This window comes from Homo sapiens, chromosome 6 (genome assembly GCF_000001405.40).
Source record: "Homo sapiens chromosome 6, GRCh38.p14 Primary Assembly".
NCBI classification, from domain to species: Eukaryota; Metazoa; Chordata; class Mammalia; order Primates; family Hominidae; genus Homo; species Homo sapiens.
The window spans coordinates 55,957,616-55,984,889 of record NC_000006.12 but is presented as its reverse complement, the minus strand read 5'-3'; the positions used below and the strand labels follow the sequence as shown (position 1 = coordinate 55,984,889).

Genomic DNA, 27,274 nt, shown 5'->3' with positions numbered 1-27,274 from the left:
CTGCTTTCCCTTCCTCCATGATTGTAAGTTTCCTGAGGCCTTGCCAGCCATGTGGAACTGTGAGTCAATTAAACCTCTTTTCTTTGTCAATTACCAAGTCTTGGGTAGTGTCTTCATAGCAGTGTGAAAACACACTAATAAACTATATATGCTAAAATTTCTGAACTTAACGGATCAAATACAATAATTCTATTGAAGATTCCACCACTTTCTTCCTTAAACAAAATAAACATCTCTGCCACACATTCTGAATTTGTTTGATGAAAGTAAAATTACTTACATTAAACCTTGCATTCTAGTCATAATAAGCCTTTTTAAATTCTCTAACCAGGTTATCTGAGGCTTTTATCTTCCTTGGCTGATCCCACTACTAGAATATACTTTTGTTTTTTCTGGGCTACAATAATGCTTACTCCTTTTTGGTATGCCTGCCAAGCTTTAGTGATAGTTCCTTCTAGAAGCTATCTCTGATTTCTTCAAGTGTGTTTCCTTTCTTTCCCCGTCGCTCCTTTTGCCTCATTCTATCACAGCACTAGTCACACTATTTCAGGGCTAATTATTTACTTTCTGTAAGCTCCTAGGCAGGAACCCACGTCTTATTCAATGTGATATTCCCAATATCAGTCACAATTCCCATGACTACAGCAAGACAGTCAAATAGTTTGGTTAAATGAATAACTGAACAAGTGTTGGTAATCCCTTTAGGATACCTTGAATCATATCACAGGTACTGTATAAATGCACAAGGATAACATCTAAAAACGTATCTCTTGCTCACCATAGGATGCTGTGATGAGAAGATTTTGGCTACAACAAAAACAGATGGCTCATCAAGACTGTCAAATGGGTCAGTTGGTATCCTGGGCATCACATCACAATGAATTTTGGATTTTCTTCCTAAATGAAATAAGCAGAAGTCAGTGGAGCATAAACCACCCCCTTCTGCCCCACCCCCCGCCAATGGAAATTGAGAACAAGGGTATTTGGCAAAGAAGTTTATTAAGGACTTGGTAGAACAATTATCTCCAAACTTATTTTTTCTTAAGGGATCCACCCTTGAGACGTACAATTACTGCTCTATTTAATCTTGTGACTCACTGTATCAGAGGAGGCAGAGGTGCCTCCCAAATTACGAAGCAGCTTGGAGGCAGCTGGGAAACTATTTCATGCTTCCTTATGGGTTCAAGCTATGCTGTCTGACAATTTTTCTTTGTCCTCTAGAGGTGTGTCCTTTGAGGTCTTCCTGCAGCTGGGAACCCAAAGCATTCTAAGGGCCCTGTGAGGCTTGTAGTACCCACTTTCCTTTTCCCCAACTCACATAGCATTTATTTTGGGAAAGGAGGGTCATGTTCCTCATTAGTCATATTGTTGACTGTCCCTTGGTCCCCAGCCCCAGAGTATTAAATGGATGGAATGAATCGGATTTAGGGCACTGTGCTAGAAGGATGGGCGTGGGTAGAGAGGGTGGTGGGATATCATGAGAAGCAAATGGAGTTTCAAAAAGTAGAGTGGAGAGTCTCACAGAAGAGCTCAGAAAGGCGTTGTTTTGGAGAGTGCTTGAAACAGTTAAGAAGGGAATGGGATTCAATTTCTTAGGGTTCCTTTCTTGGACTTTAAAATGTATCAGATTTAGTTCACAGCCTTGTTTCCTGTGGACATCTACATAAAGACAGCAGTGTCCACTCAGCGGCAAGATGTAAACTGCTCAATTAGCAATGGCTGATGGTTCAAGCTGGGTGTGAGAGAAGAGAACAATGAGGAGCAGGGCAGGGGAAGTCTGCAGTATATGCCAGAGGAAAGTGACTCTGGTAAGAGCCAAGAAGTGGTGTTTGAATTAGACCAATAATAAATCCATGAAAATCCATGCTGGCACAAATCAATACTAAATCTTCATTACTTACAAATTTAGTTGTAAGAAGAGAAGTTAAAGCCAAGATGAAAATGCCAAAGGAAACTAAAACACTTTAGTCAGCCTACATTTTTTTTGACTTCCTTAAGGATTCTTATACTAGCTTCTGATTCTGCATTAGCAAATTTGCGTATCAGCTTACTACTTACTGCTTAGAACCCTGTTGTCTATTGTCTTGTTAATAAATTGAGATTTCAATTACCAGAGTTACATTCCAAGAAAATGATCAAAAGATGATGAATAAAAGATTATTGTTAATCTTCATGGAAGAGAAACTCTACCTTGTTGACAGGAATTAGTTCTTTTATTTTAATCTTTGATTTCTAATTGATACCACTTGATGATGGATGTTGCTGGATGGGAGTCAAGAACAGAAAAATAGCAGAGATAGAGGTTGCATTTGTGTTTCCAATGGGAGCAGTTTTTCAGGTGACATTTTTTTCAGATTTGCTTATTATTAACCTACAGCTTCTTCTGAAAGTAGCCTCTTCCATCAAGCTGGAAGGTATTGCACTCTTTCTCTCCTTATCATCTCCAGGGAAGAAGTCTTGAAAAGGTAGACCTTCCATTAGCTTTATTTCTCTACCTCTCTTTCCTTTTTCTGCCTACAGCTCTCTGACTTCACTCTGACAGTTCACTGACATGACTATCTCCAAGGTCACATGTGACCTCCTGATGAACAAATCCAGACAGTGCTTGCAAGAATGTATTGTATATGATTTTTCTGTTCCATTTGACATCAAGAAGTCTTTGTATTTGTTGAAACTTTTCCTTTGTTTCTGCTTTTCTGATCCTTCTCCTGAGTGAATGCTCTTTGTCATTTTCTTCTCTCTTATTCTAACATGTCATTTTCTTCTCTCTTATTCTAAAATGGTACTGACTTTGGTCTTATTCTTTTTGTATCTTCTACACTTTTTCTCAGTAGATTTTTTGCTTGTTAGCTATACATAGACCCCTCTCAAAAATGCATGATCTAGTCAAAACCTTCCTTTTGAGATCTCCACAAAAATTTCTGACTGCTTTCTAGATAGTTGCACATAGATATTACACAGGTCTTCAATACAACTTGTTCTTCACAGAATTTAGCATTCTTATGCCATGTGCATAAATCTATTCCTTTTCTAGAATTGCAAATTTCATTTGATGATAGTGTTGTTTAACCAGTCCCCATGCCAGAAAGATATACAAGGTCAGTTGTCCCATCATTCTGTAGATCCAATCTGTCCCCAAGTGAAGTGGATTTTACTTCTACACCTTTCTCTCTGTGTTTTAAAAACAATACAAGTAATAGGTAATTATTGTTAAAAATTATATGACCCAGAAACATAAGGAAGAAAGAGAAAAAAATTCTCCTTGAATCTGTCTGGTCCATAAATCCCAGATTGCACAATAAAATTCTGTCCACAGCCCAAAGAAATAGCACCCCTTCAGCCACTCTTTGGGTCTGCCCTGTGCACACCCATTACATAATCTACTCTGGGTAAGATGGGCCTAGAGAAGTAGAACTACACAGGGGCTTCAGTGAATCTGTGTCTGAGACACCCAGAGTATGATGTGAAAGGTAGCCCTATTGCATTGCCCATGGGAAGGAGAGTAATCCTGGCCAGAGGGAGAAGGGTTGTTGCTGGAAGAGGCCCAGATGAAGTGCAGGGCTCAGGGCAGAGAACCCACTTGCCTAAGGGTAGCAATAGCTCATAGTGTAATGCAGGTTTCATTTGAATTAATGCAGAAATTGAGTAGGGCCGAGACTACAAATCATTTATTTTGTTTTTTATTCATTAGATATTGAGTTATTACAATAAACTGAGTCCTGTCCATGTACAGAAGAAACGACTGGTGAGAAAGCACAATTCCTGTTTTCAAGGAATTCTCATTCATACAGAACACCTTAAGGTTTTATGTAGATCTTTAGCAAAGTGGTTGGGCAGGCAGACTATAATATTAATATGGAAAAATTCAGTGGTGACTATATTTCTGTGAATATTCTCTAAGTATTATAAATAAATGTCATATTGCTAATATCAGATTTAAGGACTGTAATTATTTCAGAGTTTAAAATGAACCAAGAGTCTATTGTTATGTAAATTTTATCTTTAAGAGAAGGGAAACTTTGGGCTTTAGTTCAGGATTGCTGATATCCATTATTTTGAGTGCACTGCCCTCTGGTGGTTTGAAAAGCACTGTTTTCATTTTTGTTGGTTTTCCCTAAGGCTCCCTGGAAAGAAAAGATCTAGGGGTCTTTGTTGACAAGATTTTTGACATTGTGAATTTTCTCATTCAGATTTGTTGTTCTACTTATTCCTTTTTTTTCTTGCAAAGACTTCCATACTTATTCAAATTATGTTAAAATAAAATTGAGCAAAATAACTACCTCATGGAGAATTGTAAACAACATTCTGAGAATTGCAGAACCAGTTCTAATAAGATTTGGAGAGAAATACCTCGTTAAAACATTTTAAGATTTATCAGAATAAATAAACATGAAAGAATGGTCCAGAAACTCTGCAATGCTCACCTAAAAGAGAGGAGGCTTTCAACAAAATACAAATACAAAAAGTATTATAATACAAAAGATATTATAAAGATACCGTAGTATGAAAACCGTGGAACTACTGTCAAAATAGACATAATGATAAATAACATAGAACTAAAAAAATTACAGTTACAATTTTTTTTGGTCTTAAAAATGTAGCATTTCAAGGCTATTAGCCTATTTATCAAATAACATTAGAATAACTGTGCTGCTTGGAAAAAAATTTGAAGTGATACTTCAAGCTTACATTAAAACACTTGATATGTTGAAGTTTAAAGAAAAAAATAAAACTAGGAATATTACAGAGAAATAATTATGTTGTCTTGGGTTGTTAATGGCCTTTGAAATGACATCAAAATCACAAACTAAGAGGAAAATTTTTGTTGGTTTGTTACATAAATAATAAAATATATTGATAATAAGTAATATAGTGTATGGCATTAAAAGCAAATGCACAGAACAGAAAAAACTGCAATATATGATGGAAAAGGTACTATATAATAGTGCTGTATAAAGAACTTACATATTCATGAGAAAAATTTCAAGAAGAGCCAATTCATAAAGAAGTATTAAAGGAAAATGAACAGAAAATGCTTTATTTTGTAATCACAGGAATGCAAGTGAAAATAGCAATGCAAGATTATTTGTCACATATCAGGTTGACCAAAAAGGAAGCATTGACAAAGTTCTGGGTCATTTTGGGGAAATAGGAATTTCATATACTTGTGAATGAAGTGTAAAGCAATGTCAGCTTTTTTGAGAGTAGTATTGCAGTGCAACATGAAAATATACTTCAAACATAGCAATTCCAATTACAATAATTTTCTAAGAATGCCATCACAAATCTGAGCAAAACAATGTACTTTTAGATTGTTTACAAAGCTGGTTGAATTTTGTGTCATCTTTATCTTCTATTTTATGTTTTTATACATTAGTCTGAATTTTAAAAATTATTTCCACTAATCTTTTAAAATTTTCATGGAATTGACAAATAATAATTTTATTCATGTGTCACCTAATGACAGGGATTTCTTCTAAGAAATGTAACCTTAGGGGATTATATATCTTTAGGCATAGTATGTAAGTACAGTGTACTAAGTACTATAAACTGTAAGTATACTGTATAGTAGGTTATGAAAGTACAGTGTGTAGTAGGTTATATAAGTACAGTGTATTTACATAAACTTTAGGGCACTGTGTAGTAGGCTATGTAAGTACACTGTGTAGTCAGCTATGCCATCTAGGCTTTATGTAACTACTTTATAAACCTAGATGGCATAGTCTACTACACAACCGGATTATATGCTATAGCCTATTGCCTCTAGGCTAAAAACCTGTTCAGCATGTGACTGAATACTGTAGGCAATTACTACACAATTTGTGTATCTACACAAATCTAAACTTAGAATAGGTTATGCTCTATGATGTTATAATAACTAGCCCACTAGGCAATAGTAATTTTTCAGCTTCATTATAATGTCATGAGACCACTGTTGCATATTGGTTCATTGTTAACCAAAACATTGTTATGTGGTGCCATTACTGTATATATTATATATTTATGAGGAATAGTGAATCCTTACTATAACAAGTGTCGTGATAAATGCTGGAGGTACAATGAACAAGATGAATCCACTTAGTTGGAAGAGTTTTCTTTGCTACTTTAAAAATTAAGTAAAGCAATGTAATTACTTACATTTACTTTGGCAAATAGCTTTAAAGGGTTAATTACAGCTTTATATTGTTTGTAGAATAGAGATTCTATTAAATGTAGAATGCATGAAAAATCTCTGCAAACAATGAGCTATAGATTTTTATAGGACCTTGTGTTATATCTTTGTATCTGCATGCCTATCTTTCCAACTGTACAGTAAACTCCTTTAAGGCAACCATGTATCATTATTTTGTCCAGAACTCTTAACGCAATGGCTTCCATATGGAAATTGTTTAGCAGTTATGTGCTTTGGAGCTGAGATGAAAGCTAAAAACACATTTTGGATTAAGAACAAAGAAATCTTGACAAATTGTAAGCAATTCAGTTTTCACTCTAGTGTTAATTTAGCCCCAAATACATACATTTCAACTAGAAATCCTGTACCTTGAATTCTGCTTTTAGTTAGTTCTTTCTCAATAAAAACAAAATCACTGATAAACCTGAATCTAGTGGCAAAGTTTCTAAGTTCTGAGCTGGGATGGCCTGCATTTCTCATTTCCCAGTGTCTCCTTACGTGGGGTTCAGTTCACTTCTTCCTTCTTATTAATAAGGCAGAAAGATCTTAGTTTTTGCTAATATACTTACTCAGCATATAGTCTTTGTTAAGTAATTCCTATCAAACATTTTGTTCCCATTCTGTTTTTTTTCTGCACAATTCTACAAAGTATGGGAATTTGGTGAGGCAATGGAGAAGTACTTCAAAACTCTCTTTAGAAGCAGGGGTGTAAACTAACAGACATTTCCTGGTGGGTGACACCATCATACTTTCTTTGGAATACGATTAAAATACACCTCCTTTGGCAGCAGCAAGAGGGTTTAACCATTTTACACCAAAATTCACATAGATGACATATGTATCAGTTTGTAGGTATATACAAACTCGAGTAATCATTTATTTTGAGAAGTCCTTGTTGAGTATACAGCTATACCCAGTTTGCAAGTGTTTCTGAATTGCAAACATGTGCTTTATATTTTGAGACCTAGTGAACCACATTCCCCTAAGAATCTGCTAGCAAAAGTGTCAGAAAGCTTCTCAGCATGTTAGTTCCTCTCTGTTATTTCTAGTTAAAAGTGTTTAAAAAGAAAGATGCCTTCACCAGCAATACTGAATATCTATACTTTAACTATCACAGAAGAGGTCTTGCTGCTGTTTTGGAGAGGACCTTTTAAACCCAGCTAAAGGACAATTATGAGGAATTGCTCACTTTTTGATGGTCATTCTTTTGTTTTGAGACGGAGTCCCTCTCTTTCCCCCAGGCTGGAGTGCAGCGGCGCAATCTCGGATCACTGCAAGCTCCGCCTCTCGGGTTCACGCCATTCTCCCGCCTCAGCCTCCTTAGTAGCTGGGACTACAGTCGCCAGCCACCATGCCCAGCTAACTTTTTTTTTGTATTTTTAGTAGAGACGGGGTTTCACCGTGTTAGCCAGGATGGTCTCGATATCCTGACCTCATGATCCGCCCGCCTTGGCCTCCCAAAGTGCTGGGATTACAGGCGTGAGCCACCGCGCCCGGCCTTGATATTCATTCTTAATGAATCTACCATGTCTTTTGATGAGAGAAAAATCTGGACTCTTTTGAGGAACAATTTTGGAACAATTGCTAAAATTTTAGATAAATGTATACTACGACCAGTCAATTCTGTTTTCAGGAGTCTGACCTATAAAAAGATAAGGACAAGTGAGTAGTTACAGGTATAATTAAAAATGTTTATTTTAGTTTTTTTGTGATAGCAAAACAAAAAATAAGAAAAATCAGTATAAAGGCTTATCAATAGAAGAATGGATAAATATATTTTGTTATATCATAATGTGAAATACCAGACAACTATTAAAATGGAAATTAAAAAGGCGTATATGAACTGACTTGTAAAGACAGACATATCCATATACTGTGAAGTGAAAAAAAGGAATTTTGAAAATATGTATTAATTAAAAATTCTTGACATAATAAATGAGTTCAGCAAGATGGCAGGACACAAAATTAATATTCAAATATTAATCACATTTCTATACAGTAACAACTAACAATCTAAAAATAAAATTGCCACAATAATTTCATTCACAATGGCATCAAAAGGAATAAACATACTAGGGAATAAATTTACCAATAAAACTTCAAGACTTGTACCATAAAAACTACAAAACATAGTTGAAAAAGTTGAAGAAGATCTAAATAAATGGAAAAGCATTTCAAGTTCATGAATCAGGTCAGAAGACTTAATATTGTTGAAATAGCAACATTTTTCAAATTGATCTGTAGATTCAATACAATCCTTACCAAAATACCAGTTGGATTTTTTTCCCCTAGAAATTGACTAGCTTATCCTAAAATTCATATGGAAATGTAAGGGACCCAGAATGGCCAAAAAATTCTTGAAAATGGAAATAAAATTGGAGAACTCACACTTTCTAATTTTATTTTTTATTTTATTGAGACAGAGTCTAGCTCTATCACCCAGGCTGGAGTGCAGTGACACCATCTCACCTCACTGTAACCTCCACCTCCCAGGCTCAAGAGATTCTCCTGCCTCCGCCTCCCAAGAAGCTGGGATTACAGGTGCGTGCCACCACACCTGCTTAATTTTTTTGTACATTTAGTAGAGATGGGTGTTTTGCCTTGTTGGCCAGGCTGGTCTTGAACCGCTGACCTCAGGTGATCCACCTGCCTCGGCCTCCCAAAGTGCTAGGATTACAGGCATGAGCCACTGCACCCTGCCATCTACTTTTAAAACTTACTGTAAAGCTTTAATAATCTAGACAGTGTGGTGATGGCAAAAATATAGACATGTAGATCAACATAATAATATAATATAGAGCCCAAAAATAAACCTTTACTTTAGTAGTCAATTGATTTTCAACAAGATAATAAAGCAATTCAGTGGGAGAAATATTCTTTTCCACAAATGATGTTGGGACAACTAGATATCCACATTCAGAAGAATGAATTTGGAGCCTTATCTCGCATTATATCCAAAAATGTACTCAAAATGAACCAATGAACAAAATGTAAGAGTCAAAACATAAAACTCCTAGGGAAAAAAAACAAAACAAAACATAGGAACAAATCTTCATGACCTTGGATTAGCCAAGGACGTCTTATATATGAAACCAAAACCACAAATGATAAAAGAAAAATAATTAACAAGTTGAACTTCATTACAATTAAAAATTTTTGCTTCAGACAACACCATCTACATGAAGTGGTATCCCATCTACAGACTGGGATAAAATACTTGGAAATCATGTATCTAATATGGAATTTGTATCCAGAATATATAAAGAATTCCTATAACTCAATAACTGGAAAGCAAATATAATCCAATTAAAAATAGTCAAACGATTTGAAATAGATATTTCTTCCAAGAAGATAAAAGAATATTCCATATGCACACTAGTAGATGTTCATCATCATTAGACATTAGGGAAATGCACATCAAAACCATAATGAAATACCTCTTTATAACCAGTAAAATGACAGTAATATTAAGTATAGACAAAAGCAAGTATTGATTAGCATATGAAAAAATTAGAACTCTTAAGTTTGCTGAGAATGTAAAATGGTGTAGCCACTTTAGAAAATAGTTTGGCAGTTTGTCAATGTTAAACATAAAGTTACCATATGGCCCAGCAATTCCACTTCTAGGTATCTATCCAAGAGGAATGAAAACAAATGTCCATAAAAGACTTGTGCACAAATGTTCATAGCAGAATTATTCACATGAAACAAAAAGTGGAAACTACCCAAATGTCCATTAACTGATGAATGGATAAACAAAATATATTATACCCATATAATGAAATAATATTGGATAATAAAAGGAAAGGAAGTACTGATACATGCAGCAAAATGGATAAACTTCCAAAACGTTCTAAGTGAAAGAAGCCAGACACAAAAGACCACATATTGCATGATTCCATTTAAAAAATGTCCAGACTAGGAAAACCTACAGAGACAGGAAATAGATTAGTGGTTGCCTATGACTTGGGGGTGGGGGCTGGGGGAAGAGGAAATGACTGCTAAGGTTTCTTTTTCAGTGGATAAAAATGTTCTAAACTTTGAATGTGATAATGGTTGTATAAAACTGTACAATCACTAAGAACCAATGATTTTAAAAATGAATAAATGTTATGGTATATGAATTTATTCTCAATAAAATTAAAAAAGCATTATGTGTAACAAGATTCAATTTTTGTTTAAAAGTACATATATATCTATGTGTTTAAATATCTATAATTTGTTTAAATATATGTATATGTATTTAAATAAGCATAGAAAAAGATGGGACTATATACATTCAGGAAATTGTTAATGACTCTAGGGAGGGAGGAGGAAGGATTGGGAGGGAAGTATTCAAACACTACTTTATTCAATTCTGATTTATTTTAATATGTTTTAACACACAAATTGATTTAGTGTTTCTTATAAGGAATAAGTCTATCATAAATACATACTCAATAGATTAGTATAATACATCATGAATGTAGCTCTTGTTAATGATGGGATCTGTTCATTCATTTGTCAATTAATTATTGACACTAGACTATGTCCTGGAGATAAAAAGGTGAATGATATAGTTCCTGATTCCAAAGAACTTACATCTAGTTGATACAGAACTATAAAAACAAATCATATTTATAACTTGAACACCCTTTCTCTTTTAAAAAATCACTATTTCTCATAATACTATTTTATATCAAGTGGGAAAGTAATATAATTTTTTCCATATCACTATTTAAAAATCACTTTTCTTTATAACATTAAATAAATCAACCTTAAATCTGCTTTCTCTTTTATATAAGATTAACAACTACAGTGTTTTCTTGGATGCATGGACATTATGAAAACAAAACCCTAGCATACTGCATTTACTTCTACATCCCTATACTATAAGTATTTCCCTATCCTTTAACTTTCCACCCATTTTTAGAATGAATTATAAAAATTATTTATCTGTATAAGTTATTTTATCTCTGTATCTATCTGTAGAATGAACCGATAGTTGGTTGTCAATAGCAACAGTAAGAGTTCTGAAGCAATGAAAATGAACAAACTTCAGTTAAGCTTAATTTGCAATAAATAAAGAGTATTTGTGTAGTATTCACACCTTTTTTCAGTAGCTTGCTGGGAAAATAATTCAATTACAGTTTATAATTCTAATCAGGTTCACTTCAGTCAGATGAATTCAAATAATTCATGTATCACCCTGTTTCTCTGTTTAGTGATTTTCCATGTATCAAGTTGTCACATTTGAAAATGTAATAGTATTTTACAAAATTAAAAATATCTGATATAGGGAAAATGTATAATCTTTTGGAATTGAGGTTTGACATACACAGCACCAGACCAAGATTTTTTAAATTATGCTTTCTTTATATTTTTAGATTTCTGTTAGTATAGGCATTTTCCATGCATGCATTTATTCGAGATACATTTATTGAACTGTTGCTAAATTCCACACACTCTTTTAGGTAATGAGGAAGGGAAAGTGAGTAGGATATAGTCTCTGCCTTAAGGACTCATGGTCTCTCTAGAAAGATAAATAATAATGGTAAGAAGCAAAGTGGTAGAAAGTGAAATGAAGAGGTCCATACAAAGGTGATAGCAAAGAAATCATCAAAGAAGTATCTGAACATAAAAATGTATTTAATTGAAGTACACACAAAGAAAAGGAACGAAATAATTTTATTAACATATTAGTACAAAACTGATTATTTATTGCAGCAAGAATCTTGAAATCATAGATAAAAAATTAAAAAATTTAAATGACTTCAACTTGGATCTTAAGATGTTAATGCATTGTAAGAGGAGATATCTTATTTAAAAACAACTCAAATTTAAATTATATTTAAAAATTTTAATGCTATGGCATCATAAGTCAAAGCAATATTGATACTTTCTATTTTTCTTTTATTCCTCTAGTTTAAAAAGTCATTTAAAAGTGAAAACTGAAGTTGCTTTTGAAAAAAAATTCTTTTTTAAAAGTAGCCCCTCATGTTACACAAGTGTATTAGTTGTCTGATCTCTCCACCTTTTCTACTTTCATTCAAAATAGAAAGGTATGTCAGCATCTTGCTGCCAGAGTCCTTGACTCACGTGTCCTTTGAAACCCTTTATCATTTCAAGTTATAGTTATTTGTAGAGACATTTTAGCTTGTCCAGACTATAAGCTCCTTGATGACAGGAGCTTTGCCTCTTTATTCTTGCATCTGCCACAAATCCAGCGTAGTTCTTGTAGAAATAGGTGCTCTGTATTTATAGCATGCATAAATAATCTGCTACTAATCTAAACTTGAACTACTGAAATTTACATCTCTCCTAAATGACAAATGTTGACTTAGAAATATTTCTCTAAAGTCCCTGGAAAAAATTAATCAGAATCTAAATATATCATATCACTTCTTCTGTACAGTCCAGCGCAACTATTCTTCCAGGCCCATAAAAGTGTCTGGGACATTTGCCACAATGTATTACTTTAAAATTTAAAGTTTCAGCACTTTTGAAACTGTTTTCCCTTTTAAATGCTTTCAGAATAGTTAGGATTTTCTGCCACAAGGTAGCACTAACAAGCACACTACCTTGAAAACAAAAAGGATTCACTGAGATCTAGACTCTTATTTCCAAAATAACCTGAAATAATCAACTAGATCTAAATAACATTAAACAGATCCACAATTAAATATTTGAAGAGACAATGACATGCTTTGGAAATTTGTTAACTTATTGCAGTTCATCAAGTATAGATGCCTTTCATTGTAACTGGCAATATTCTTTTTTGTATGACTAAGAAGGAAAATACATTGCCAATTAAACAGTAATACAATGCTTTCTTATCACTTAGAAATTTTATTTTATACTTATTGAAAAAGTTATTTTGTAATTATTAGACATAGACATTTACCTTACATTACACTAGACTGTTTCCACATTTTTCTGGGTATATGGTAACTTTATTCATTGTTGAATCATACAACAATCTTTTTGAGGGCATTTTGTGGCGATTACACTCAAGATACATGCCCCAAATGCACAAAACTATTAAAATTGCGACCAAAGAAATAGCTATTATGAAGTTGGTACATGCTTAGGCATAACAGTTGTATTGGGAATGACACCAGAATGACAGTAAATTTAAGATGGCTGATTAAAATACCAATTTCAGAGGTCATTGACTATTTTGTTATGAAATAATTTGAAGTTAGAATGAATAAAATACAGTATGTTTAACTTTTCCTGTGTTAATTCAACTCAAACTTTAGGTGATAATTGAAAGCCCTGTTCCAAGTTTTGAACTCCTTTTCCCACAGCAATGTCTATTTTTACTGTCCTTTTGAGAAAGCTTGTGTCCAACCTAGTCAAAAAGAGGCCTTTAATTTGCTCTCCCACTACTACTGAACAGTTAGAAAGACACACATTTTAGTGTCTGACTGAAATATTTCTTCCAACTCATGAGACTAAAGATGAAATGAAGAGACAAGTTCACGGTCCTCTGAGGTTAAGTGTTCTATGACTAGATTCTTTCCAATCACAGAAGTAATTTTCAACTTTGATCTTTAAAGGAGTAAGATATAGGCCCCAACCCCAAAATCATCTTTCTAATTGTACTTAGATTTTACTTTCTGTGTCTTACCAGTGTCTTAGAAGGAACTTGGCATTTGAGACTTTTCTTGCTTTGGCCAGTGCTAGAACATGGTCTCTCTCTCTCTCATATGGTTGAAGGCTTATTGGAATTTCAAAAAAATGTCCATAGGAGATCCCACTTTCCTTAATTCTGTATTTAATGATTCCAATTTAGCACAAACATTAGGATTCAAGAAAGGTTATATATTTTAAATATACTTATATTTTAAAAAATATAAATATATTTTAAAATATATATTTTATATAAATTATATAAAAATATTAATATAGTTTATATAAATTATATAACATTAAAAATATTTTATATAAATTATAAACATATACATTTATATATTTTAAAACATATAAATGTATATTTTTTAAAGTTCTAAGAAAGACAATAAAATCTCAATATAGTACAAACTGAACCCATCATTTTTCTTTTAATCTTTTAAAATTCTGTGTGCTCCCTCTTGAGGGTTGATGATAATTGCCATTCACTCTGTTGTCCAAGCCAGAAACCTGAAACATTCAAAGATTTGTCCCAGGGAGGCTCTTATCTCAAGTCTTTAATTAATTGCCTGTCTCCCACTCTAGGTTTTAAGCTTTGATAGGACAGAGATCACGGTTATCGTGTTTACTTTTGCAACCTCACTCCCTGGTACATAGTGTATATATTAAGGTAAAAACTCAAATGAAAATTCACTTACTTTGTGCTTTAAGCAAGTGAACTCAGTTATTTTTAGTCAAGGACTGAGGTTGGAGGGAAACATGGATTTTAATCTCCTACATTAAAGATTTTATTTTGTGCTTATTTTATACCTTAATAGGGCAAACTCATGTATGGTGCCTAATAATTACTTAAGACAATCATAGTATATACAATATTTTAGAATTAAAAGAGAACTTAGAGATCAGTTTATTCTAAATACCAGGCCCAAGGATGCTATATATTATCTGAATTTTTAAAAAGCAACAGCAATGATGCAGGGGTTGGGCAGTAGGGTTGACTTGAGTTTTCTTTGTGTCTCTGGGAGTCTAGTGTTGCTAACAGAATGTCTTCATAAACAAATTAAAAATTGTTGGGTTCAACTTACTTTCTGATAAAAAGTTAAAGAATCATTTATATCTGGCTCTGACTTTGGCTGGTAAAGTTAATATGTTACTGATATTTTGACATTGAAATTTAAAAAATATCTAAATGTGGATTTCTTTTCTGGGGTATAAAAAGCACTTCGGAGGATATTCAAGACTGTTACAAGTGAAATGAGAGGGAAACGTTACAGAAAGTTAAGCCTTTCATTTCTTAGTTTTGACAAGCTAAATCCAAGTAGTAAGAGGCAAGATAGTATCCTAATAAAGCATGCCTCACTGGTTATAATTGAGTTTATCTGTTCTCATCTCTAGCACATCCAGCTGCCAAGAATTTTAACAATCGCAGGAGGATTAGGGAAGCTGTATACAGTTAGGCTGGTTAATGAAGTAAAGTGTTACAAGAAGTAAAGTGTTACAAGATGGGAAAAACATTCAGCAAAAATTGACTTTGGTTTGAATATGTCATCTATTTGCTTCTTATTTTGAAATAAATTATGTAGGAAGAAATGTTATTATCCTCTATACTTTCTATTTACTGTCTTTGTTGGCATCAATTGTTCACTAAAAATATACTTATTAATAGAAAATATTTTATAGAGAAAGGGAGCGAGGAGTGTTTTAATACCTATGGAATCCCTTCTAAGTGCCAGATATGTTAGGTGCTTAGAGCTTACAGTAACCTTATTGGATGGTTCTTATTATTTCCATTTTAGAGATGAGGAATGTGAGGATTATGGATGTTAAGTATCTTGCCCATAGTAAACTGGAAACCAAGATGCCAGGTGGAAGAGTCTGGATTCAATTGCAGGTCTGTCTCAACACCAAGTTGATTTTCCTTCTACTCCCTTTTGGCCACTTCCCACTCTACTACTGCCCTGTAAAACATTTTGCATGTGTTCTAACTCAGATTTTGGCTCAGTGCATGGAAAATTGCATCTACAGGACATCAGAGCATAAAGTTAGTCTTTCTTGCTATTACAAACATTTTCTACTACAATAGTAAATCAGAGAAAGAATTGATCACATTAAAATGATTCTTATTGTTTGCCCCAGAACTACAATCACATGTTATTATATCCCAAACAAATATACAACATTTTAAAAGTGGTTAAAATAAAAACAATAACTCTTTTTGAAGGATAAAAAGAAATATGATATGCTGGTACAGGTAAGCAATTGGGAATCCTAAAGGAATATAATTTGGATTTAATGTATCTTCTCATGTTCTCGTCCCCTACCATTACCCTATTTTACAAGAAAAATAAAGAATAAAGGTAGTTTACTTTATTTCTCCTTCACCCTGAAATCTTCCCTATTTCTATTACAACAGCTACTATGGCTGCCAGCAAAACTTTCTCTGGTCTTTTGAGCTTACCAACCAGCTTCAGAAGAAGGGATCAAATGGTGTGTGTGGAATTCTTTTCATTATTAAAGAACTAGCTATTACTTGATCAGAATGGAATTTGTTTCTCCTCTTTTAGGGTAGCAAATGGTTAAAGGATAATACAATTTAAATCAGAGGAAAATCAATAAAAATGTCATCATAAAACTAAAAGTTAAGGCTAACATACATAATGATAAATTCAAAACCGTCTATCTAAGACTGAAGTTATTAATAACATATGCTTAACCATAATTTGAACAATTTTATTCAAAATAAATAGTTCAAGTACTTAAGGAGGCTTTCCATTATAATTGATTTTTATTTTTAAAGTTTAACAACCATATATCTAATGTAGTAATTACTTTAGAAATGTATACAACTTGGATATTATTTAAATATTCAGAGAACTCATTCCAAATCAAAGTGATATATTTGAAGCCTGCACTTCTTTGGGTCAACATTCTTATCTGAAACGTAGGGAAACCTACGTTAAAGCCACAAAATGAAATTACCCATGTTAATGGCTTATGCTTAAATAATAATCTTATAACATGACGCAACAAATACAATAAATACTAATTTTCTCACAGGTAAGTTTTTACATATGTTCAGTGAGTTTGTTATTCAGTAAAATGAGTTAGAAAATAGCTCTTTCCTTAAAAAGGGCGATTATAGCACAGGTTTTGATAATTTAATTAAATGTAGCCCTTCAGTTTACAGTCATTCATTTACACAGTATAAATCTTAACACATCCACATCACAGCACCATAATCAATTTAAGAAAATATTAATAACAAAAAACTACTCCAGGTTCCCAAAATGTTAGGCTAATGCCTTAAAGTGATTATCTTCTAGAGTACCTGTGAAAAGTATTCTTTTAGTTAGTTGGCTTATTAAACAGTAAGAAAGAAAGATGCTCTATATAACCTACAAAATCACATAAGACTAAAAAAAAAACCTTTACAGCTCAATATATATTATGTTGTGTCCTTGATGGTTTGAGAATTGACATATGTTAAATAGAACAAAACTACAGTTGTATTTTCTTATAGAATGGCCTAGATTCTAAGACTGTAAACTTCTCTCATGAACTTTGTTCCTAATTCCCTAATTTTTTGTTCCACTTAAGAACCCAAGAGTAGGAACAATTGGGAAGATTCCTATTTCACCACCTAGAAAAAAATCAAAGCTCTGCTTTGGACATGATCTTTCCTTTTCATCAGTAGTGTGGGGTTTTAGGAGAGGTTAACCATGACCACATACCCAAATCCAAATTTGGAACTAATTGAAAGATAGGTATAGAAGTCAGACGTAAGATGGGGAAAATACCAGCTTCAGAGGAGACCGAACCTGGAGAGACAGATGTGGTGCAGGCATGTGGCCACGCTGGACCTTCTAACCTTGATTGGTGAAGTACATAGGTCTGTCCTCCCAGTTGTTGGAATCACAGGCCTCCCTGACAGGGGCAAAGTGGTTTCTCCTGATAGTGGAGAGGGCATCTGTAACTGGAAGATACGTTGCTCTAATGGAGAGCTCCAAAAGTTGAGCAGGGTATCATAAAACTCCTTTTCCCAAATTCCCCAATCCAAAAAGAAGAGTAAGAGAATGAGCAAAGAATGCACTTACTAGACAGTATAAATTTCTTTCTCCCTAAGACAAAGGTAAGAGTGGGAAATGTGTGTTCTCTCTCAACCCTAAATTTGCACGAGAAATTGCTGCCTAGTCGGCCAGTGCGGTGGCTTACGCCTGTAATCCCAGCACTTTGGGGAGGCCGGGGCGGGTGGACCACGAGGTCAGGAGATGGAGACCATCCTGGCTAATACGGTGAAACCCCGTCTCTACTAAAAAGACAAAAAGTTAGCCAGGCATGGTGGCGGGCACCTGCAGTCCCAGCTACTCGGGAGGCTGAGGCAGGAGAATGGCGTGAACCTGGGAGGCAGAGCTTTCAGTGAGCGGAGATCACGCCACTGCACTCCAACCTGGGCGACAGAGCCAGACTCGTCTCAGGAAAAAAAAAAAAAAAAAAAAAAAAAAAAAAAAAGAAATTGCTGCCTAGTCATTTTGAATTTACTAGGACAATAGGCAAAAAATTCTGTGTTAAGTAATGTTGAGCATCAGGAAGAAAGGGGATTGTTGCAACCAAATGGATGCGTGGAAACCAAGACTGGGATGGAGGGTGGAGGTGGGTGGTGGAGGGAAGGATGCCCGGGGAATACTTCATTCTACTGCTATAGCCAATAGTAAACATTAACACAATACTACTGCATCCTACACAGGCTTCTTCAGAACAAAGGATAAAGGTTTAAATCACCCCGCCAGAGGAAAATCTTCACCAGCTGAAGGTGGCCGAAGGTAAGGAAAATAGGGAATCAATGGTGAAGGAGAAAGTATCAATTATAGTTTAGAACAAGTTGCTGAAAATGAAAACTCTGGTCTCTCTATTATCCTTAATGTGTTTCCTCTTCCTTTTCTTTCTTTTTCTAGTACATCTAGGGTGTATTTACTGTTTTGCCCAAAGGTTGTAGAATATTGGGAAGGCACTGTTAAGAAACTATGAGAATGAATATTTCCCAAGATTCAAGATTCAGGGAACAGAGGCCCTACAGCATTACACAGAACATTCTCTTATTGATGGTCCTTACTCTGTGAAAAGTTTGTTAACTTCAAAGAAATATAAACTTTCTATATCACTAAGTATAGAAATACTCTCTATGTTACTAAGTATATCTTGTATAAAAATACAAGATAGAGCAAAAAACAAAAAGAGCTCTGCATTTGAAATAATTAATAGAACATAGAGAATTGTGGATCTCAATGATGATTTCCATCTTGTTAATGCCTGCTTGTAACAAACTGAAAAAATTAAATCAGAAATAAGTGAGGGTATGATATTTTCAGAAAATAGCAACGGATAATAGACTTTACTCCATGAAGTCCTGTTGTATATATATATAAATTCCTAACCATTACTAAATATCACATTTTTATTTTCAAAATAATTTTTATATACAACACTAAAAGAGATCAGTTTTAGAGGGTGCTTCTGGGAAGCATACTTTCTTCTTAATCAGAATGCTTCCTTAATTTGGGGGGATTCTCCATTTTTGGTCTTCCTCTTTTGAGCTGTCATTAAATATTAATTTCTAATATCCAAATACATAACTGGTGCCATCCCTATGGAAATAAAGAAGAGATAAATGTAATGCAAATGCCTATGGTAGTATTTAATAAAATATACCTTTCTGGTGTGTTCCGATATTTTAATCTGGTGTTTTGCCGCTAATGGATCCAGTTAGATTTCATATGAATATTCCTCCCCTATAAAATGCATCTTTAAATATATATTTTTCCTTTCTCTCAGCATGTTTATTTTACTATATCATTTTTTCTTTATTTTAAACTTTTCTTTTCCACCGCTTCTTAAGAAAAATCATTATTCATATGGGGCAACAAAAAAAAGAGCTGGCTGGAAAGAAAAATTTGATGGAGGCTAACCGAACATGAAAATTGAAAATCAAATGGGTGAACCATATTCAGAAGCAGACAAAGAAACTTTTCCTGGTAAATGTTTCAGGACTGAAGTGGCTTTGTGAAGAAATTGGGAGAGATGGTAGATAGTTTAGAAGTGTGTAGCCCCCTTCCCCTCCTCCCCGCTTTATTGCTCCTGCTCCCACTATGTGAGATGCCTGTGACCTCCCTTTGCCTTCTGTCATGATTGGAAGCTTCCTGAAGCCTCCCCAGAAGCAGAAGCCACTACGCTTCCTCTACAGCCTGCAGAACTGTGAGCCAATTAAACCTCTTTTCTTATAGATTACCCAGTCTCAGGTGTTACTTTGTAGCAATGTGAGAATGAACTAATGCAAAGACTAAGTTATAAAATGAAGGGAAGATTTTACTTTTATGATATGGATTTTTAAATAAAGCTGTTCTAGTGACATCTAAAATAATTTGTTACTTACCTGAGATTCATTAACTAATACAGAGTGCAAGGGTTTTTGTGTTGTGCAATGCAGGTACTGCAGCGTATTATTTAAATAGTGTTCCTCATTTAGCTAAAAATCAGTGATCAGAATTGAATGATTCGGTTTAAAAGTGTACAGGGCTAGGGTAGTGAAAAATAAGTTTGTCTGTTATATTCAGAAGAAAAATTAGAATTCTTAAAGTGACTGTTTTGGGGAGCCAAATTTTTTACTTTTGCTGTTTTCAGAATAAAAGGGTGTCATAACAAGGGCCTCTCTGGATTTGGGCCCAGAACAGTGTGATTCTGTTCCACCCATGCTGAGAGCCACCTGCGCATGTGTGGAAGCCTATTCACAGTCTCATGTTGGCATCTCTGCAGGTCTTTTTTACACAGAGGGGAAGACATCTATCTCAGATATCTAGAGTGGCCAACCATACCAGTTTACCTGGGAGTTTCCTGGGATTTGGGACCTTCAGTGTTAAAACCAGAGCAATCTCAGATTGCTCTGGGGTAGAGGATTAGACATTTTACCACTAACACAGAGTGAGTAAAGAAACATTGTGGCCACTGTGTATCAATGAAGTGGACTTAATGTCCTGATGGGAGCCAGATATTTTTCTTTATCTCTCAGCTAATCCTTCAGAATCAGAAGGTGGCAGGTCTGAAATCTTCAGATAACTTCTTGCCACACCTCTTTGATCACGGAGTCATTAGATCTTTCACCACTCCCAGAGAATGAGCAAAAGCCCCCAGTTATCTTGATCACATTTCAGTGATGATGTGCAGTGCAGCTCACATCAGAGGCAGATGTGTTTCCAGGAACCTCAGTTGATGTGCTACAACCAGGTGGGTGATTATCCAGAGGCATATACTTATTTTAGGCATTTCCCTTTGGCAAAGTTTAGAAGAGAAAGTTGTATTAATCTTCAGGCATAAGTAGTATAATCTGTCAGCTTGGGCTGTCAATCTAAATGACAGAGAGAAGCTCTCTAAAAGAAAATGATAGTTATTTGGGAATAGAGCACTGTAATGGGAATGTGCATGCCACAGTGAACTCTGCATATTCAGAGAGGTGAAGACAGGCAAAGGTTTTTAAAGGAAAAAATGAGGAGCATTACATCATTATTCTTGGCTACAAGGATCAATAACAAGAGTGGCGCCAGCTGGAGGTTGGACAGGCAGTTGCAAGGCAGATGTCCTTGCAGAAGTATTTCTTGTATACGTTTGTGATGGCCTTTTTGCCAAATTGTGCTTTCTGCAGTCTTCTGTGATAGTTCTTGTTATCAGTCATGTGTGCTCGAGAACTTTCCATTCTTGACTTTTCCTGGCTCTATTTGTTAGGGTTTCTTTTTTTTGTTTTTGGTTCTTTTCACCAAAAGTGAGTCTATATAAACTCTAACAACTTTCATAGGGCAGCAGAACCAAGCTGTCTTTTGGATGTCTTTCTGTGAGAGGATCTGATGACCAGATATTTCTGGAATTAACTTTGCATTTATTAATCCTTGAAGCATTTTTGGGGTTCTGGTTCAGAAGGTAGCCTGTGTATTGTTGTTGCCAAAATCTCTTCAGCAGAAATAGTAATTTGACATGGATTTTCTGATTAATAATAACAATAACTTAGAGTCTCCCTTAATTCTGAAATTTATGGTTCATTTGTTGAATACTCTGTTATCCTTCACTTCTACGTCTGTCAACTTCTGCTTGTTTCCCTCCAGCTCACAATTTTATTGAATAAACTTCTGTTGTAGAAATATAAGTTGTCTGATAGAGCTATTTAAGGTTCTCAATTTTAAGCTTAGGGTTTTTCTGTGAATATCCATTGGAATTTTGGCCAGTTTTGGTTAAGAAGTGTCATGTTGCATTGTGTTTGTTTGTTTCTCCTACAAGACAACTCATTTTTCAGTTTGAACTGGAAAATAGTCTCTTTATCATCGATTTTTGTTAACATATTTCATTTTCCAGAGAGAAAGGAGAAAGGAATGGAAGGGAGTGGAGGGGAGAGAGAGAGAGAGACAGACAGAGAGAGAGAGAGAGAGAGAGAGAGAGAGAGACATAGAGAGAAAGAAAAGAAAAGAAAGAAAATTTAAAAAAGAGAAGCAAAGAAGTAAAAAAAAAAAAAGGCAGGTAGGCAGGCAGGAAGGATAAAAAAATAAAAGAGTGACAAAACATTCTTTATTTCTTTAAAGAATGTGGAAGATCCTCTAATTAAAGTGTTGTGTGTGTATAGGGCTTTAGTATTCGGGTGAAGAAATGGCTATGTCCAGCCTGCTGTTTGATGTGGACTTCCTGGGCTGTCTGTCTGTTGATGAGTCTCCATAGGATCCATTTCTTGGCCTGGGTGGCTTAGAATCTAAATTTTATCATTTTACTCAGGTATGATCAAGTTTCTAGCGAACTCAATGAATTCAATTAAAATATTGATTGAAGGTCATGTCTGCTCTTGTACCATCTAGCTATGAAACAACATTATAAAAGACAAAGTAATTTGAAAAAGTTTTAGAAAATAATTAAAATAAATCAAGATCCTACTGTCACAGGTTCTGCATTAATTATAATTGGGAAAGGTATCAATCTGAGTGAGATGTTTCAAATGCAGATGGAAATGTTAAACAAAACCAATGAGGTATTATGTATTGTTCTGGAAAATTCTTTACAAAGATTTATGGTATCTGTATTCTTATTAGCATCATGCCAAAAAAGTGACATTTTCACTTCTTGTTCCTAGAAAGTCTGATTTAATTTGGCCTATTAAAAGCATGCTATCAGTGATCAGTTTCCTTCTACTGGCACATTTTACTGCCTTTTTTTTTTTTTTTTTTTTTGAGACGAAATTTCACTCTTGTTGCCCAAGCTGGAGTGCAATGGCGCGATCTCAGCTCACTGCAACCTCCGCCTCCCGGGTTCAAGTGATTGTCCTGCCTAAGCCTACCAAGCAGCTGGGATGACAGGCACGTGCTACTACACCCAGCTCATTTTGTATTTTGAGTAGAGACGGGTTTTCTCCATGTTGGTCAGGCTGGTCTTGAACTCCTGACCTCAGATGATATGCCTGCCTCAGCCTCCCAAAGTACTGGGATTACAGGTGTGAGCCACCATGCCTGGCCACTGCTTTTTTTATTATTTGCAATTATAATTAAGGTTTATGATCTTCAAAAATAAAATCTTGAAAATATTAAAAATAAACCATAGCATTTAAAGTATGCAAAAGCTCCTAAATATTGAAGTCTAATTATTGTTTTTCAGCAGTCTCATATTTTAATAAGGAGCTGAAAATATTTCCATGTACTAATATTTAGCTCTTTCTACAAAGGATATTTTACAGCCTAGAAGAATTATAGAGCCTGTGTAAGTACGAATTATATGAGAGAGGACAAAACCATCTATTTTATATATCATGTGATAAAATAATCTATTTTTATATATATTATAAAAATAGATCTTTTTATATATAAAATCATATTTTTTATATATATTACAAAAATAATATAATTTTATATATATTATAAAAGTAGATCATTTCATTATGAAATTCTCTATAGATTTTTGTTTTTTCTCATTTCTCATCATATATGGCTTAACAGTAATGCTGTATCTCTAAAACTTGATGACTTGACATGTAGCATCTAAATAATTATTATGTTGTACAATAAACAGGGAAAGTCACTTAACTTCTTTGGCCTTTTCTATTCTTTAGAATGAAAGTTAAAACCCCTCTAGCATGTGGAGTTCTTGGATGAAATGTGCTTTGAAGTAAAATGGTTCCTCTGTTTACTTAGTTTGACATTACTCAGCCTTAGGACTGTTGAGTTCTGTTTATTGAAAAAGGTGTCTCAGAATGAAGAATATCTTTTACCAGAGATGCAATTCTTGTGTTTGCCTTAGAGCCGTGCTTATTGAGCACACGGTCTTGTCATAATAGGCACTTGATTTATATTTATATTTACCCCTCTTCTGTGATATTTGCAAAATGAATATGCGACCTGTCATGGGAAATTTCTGCCTTCAATATCTTTCTTTTCCTAATCTAAATTTATGGGAGAATCTGTGGGACTGAAATTAATGGAAATTACTCATGTTATTAGTCCAGATTCCTGACTTTTGTTTCCCTGTCACTGGTAAAACTTCAAGACCCGTTTCTTCTGGGTATAAATCAGGTATGACTAATGTGCTTGGTAAGAATAATTTAATCAATTATTTTGTTAAAAAATACCTATTTATCATGACATGGAGCAAGTCATGGATTCTTTTGCAGCCTAATTGTGAAAAAGACGCAGCTCAATTTCAGAGCTCTGCTCCCTGTCCTCTAAGCAAGCAAGGTTAAGTATTATTTGGCACGGCAGAACTTAGAGAATTCGGGATGATAGTAGTGGGTGCTGCATGGTAGTTTTGATTTAGAACTAGAAGTTGACCAATGTGTTGTCACTGGTTTGTATCTGGCATTGAATATTTCATAACTTGAAGTTTACATCCTTACTTGTGAGACTCTTAAGATCTATAAAGAAGAAAAAGCATATGAATTTTTTTTTTTTTTTTGAGACAGGGTCTTGCTCTGTCATCCAGGCCAGAGTCCAGTGGTGTGATCTCAGGTCACTGCAACCTCCACTTCCCAGGTTCAAGCAATCCTCCTGCCTCAGCCTCCTAAGTAGCTGGGATTACAGGTGTGCATCACCATGCCCGGCTAATTTTTATATTTTTGCTAGAGACTGGGTTTCGCCATGTTGCTCAGGTTGGTGTCAAACACCTAGGCTCAAGTGATCTGCCTGCCTCAGCTTCCCAAAGTGCTGGGATTACAGGCACCACCGTACCTGGCCAGAAATTGTTAATAAAAGTCAACAATCTTAACAAAATAGAAGTAGTAATTTAAAATTTGATAGTAAAATTTATGTTTCAAATTAAAAGTCAGCATCTTTCTCTTCAGTTGTAATGAATGGTATAAAAACTGCCATTATTATCATTATTAGCCAGGCTGTTCCAGAAATATTGGCTTATGCAGTTAGGAAGGTGCACAAAATAAATGGTAAGAAGGCAGACTTCAGCCTTTGCAGATGTTAAAATTACACAACTGGAAAACATGAGAACATGTTTTCTGAACTAAAAATAAAAATACTAAACGTGATTACAAAAGTGAGTAAGTTATTCAGAAAACAAAAAGAAATATAAATCTTCATCCAAATAATTACTGGATAAAAATATAAAATGGAATAATATATTGTAGAAACAAAAATAATTGTGCACTACCGATATCAAGATAGCTATAAAAAACTTTAATGAAAGGCATGAAAGAGACTGAAGTGAAAGTAAAGATGAAGACATACTTTGCTCCTGGACAAGAAGACTCAGTAGTATTAAGTTATTAACACTGTCTTAATTTATACTTCCTTAATAAATTTTTATAATGCAATCTCAATAAAAACAAGGTTATTTTTAGTGAAAGCAAAGTGATATTAATTTGAAAATAAACTAACATTAAAATATACAGAACTATTTCTAAGAAGATGAATAATAAAGGTACAGTAGTCCCAACTCAGTGTTACAATATTTTATAATGTGGGAGAAACTAAAACTGTGCTTTACTGGAGTATGAATAAGCAGATGGATCAGGAAAGAGAACAGAGTCCAGAAATATTCATAAGTGTGTTTCTGGCTGAGAGCGACTTAATGAAATCAGAACAGATCTAATCACTCACTTGATGCAAATTACCATCTTCATTGCAGCAGAATAAACTGGTTCCAGTTTATTTAGGTCATTTAGGTTTGGTGATAAAGGAAGAGCTACTATCAGCCTCCCTGTATTCCTTTGTGTAGGTATTTTCTCTCTTTCACCAAATCTAAATTTGTTTCCTCTCCCTCTCTCTCTTTTAATCCATTGCTTCCTATTTGGGGCTTTTCTACCATTATCATGGAGTTGTTTTTTAAAAATGCAATCATTTGTGCCCCTTGTCTCCAGGACCAAACGTTTATATTAAAAGACATCAAATGTACTCAAAGGGTCTTTCTCTAAACCAACATATAGGTAAAAAATGTATGGGGATAGATCTTTTTGTTTAAAATTTTTAGAGAAGCAATATATTTTTATGGGGCTTAATTTTACAGCGTTTGTCAATTAACCAAGTTACATGAACTGGAATGAAAACATGCAGGTTTCCTGTGCTACGCACCTTAAGAGCTGTGAAAAACAGCAAGACCTTGGCAAAGATTGTCTTCAGAAGACGAGCAATCTGGTTTCAGTAGGATCTCTCCATTTCGTGCAACTCATCCTCTATCTCTTAAATCCTCTGCCTTTAAGCCTGCTCTTCTCTGCACCTTACAGCCTTCCCTCCTCTTCCAGTATATAGGCTCCATGATTCAGCTGATTTCAGAGTCATGCCTGTTTGCTCGTGGATTTTCTTAAGGATCTCAACTTCCTGAGGCAAAGTTGTGCAGATGTTTTTCATCAAGCTTTGGTCAACTGAAAGGAAAAAGTGACATTTGCCAAACTATTTATCTGTCTTTTAATTCATCCTTAGATGGCGGGTCATGAGTCAGCATGGATTGTCAACAGTCTGTATCTTAAACTCTTTTTATTAAGTTTTTATCTGTGAGATAGACATCATTTTCCATTTTCTCACACCAGTGGCTAGTACTCCATTGGCTGAATTTATTCCATCTCCATCAATTTCCTTCCTTATTACACATGCCCCTAGATTCAGAGTCAGTAGCAACCCCCATCATCAGTACACTGCAATTATTCAGAACTTTAATTTCAAACATTTTGTAAGTGAAAACTTCTATGTCTGAGACTTCTGGCTTAGTTTGGTTTGCTCACTGACCTGAGTATTATTATAGGAATTATTAAGAAATTATTTTAGGCAGATAGAAAGGATAAGGGTTCCCTTGGTAAGGTTTTTTTTTTTCTTTTAAAGCAGCTCCAGAAACATTTCTTGTCTAGCAGAAAAGCAGCTTGAAGGGCCAGGCTGGCAAGCTTTGATAAGCGAATGCAGGCCATTAGAAACTGGGTCCATCCAATACGGCGATTCCGCCCTCTTCTCCTTGTCACCCCCTGTGGCAACCATCATGGCT

General features: G+C 34.6%; 1 long non-coding RNA gene across 1 annotated transcript; it reads right to left on the bottom strand.

Moving 5' to 3' along the window:
- Positions 1-777: 777 nt before the first annotated feature.
- LOC107986539 (uncharacterized) lies at positions 778-26,706 on the bottom strand. Its single transcript, XR_001743880.1, has 2 exons — positions 26,374-26,706; positions 778-897 (listed from the first exon to the last, which is right to left on the bottom strand). It is a non-coding gene; the product is annotated as an uncharacterized LOC107986539 (long non-coding RNA).
- Positions 26,707-27,274: the final 568 nt, after the last annotated feature.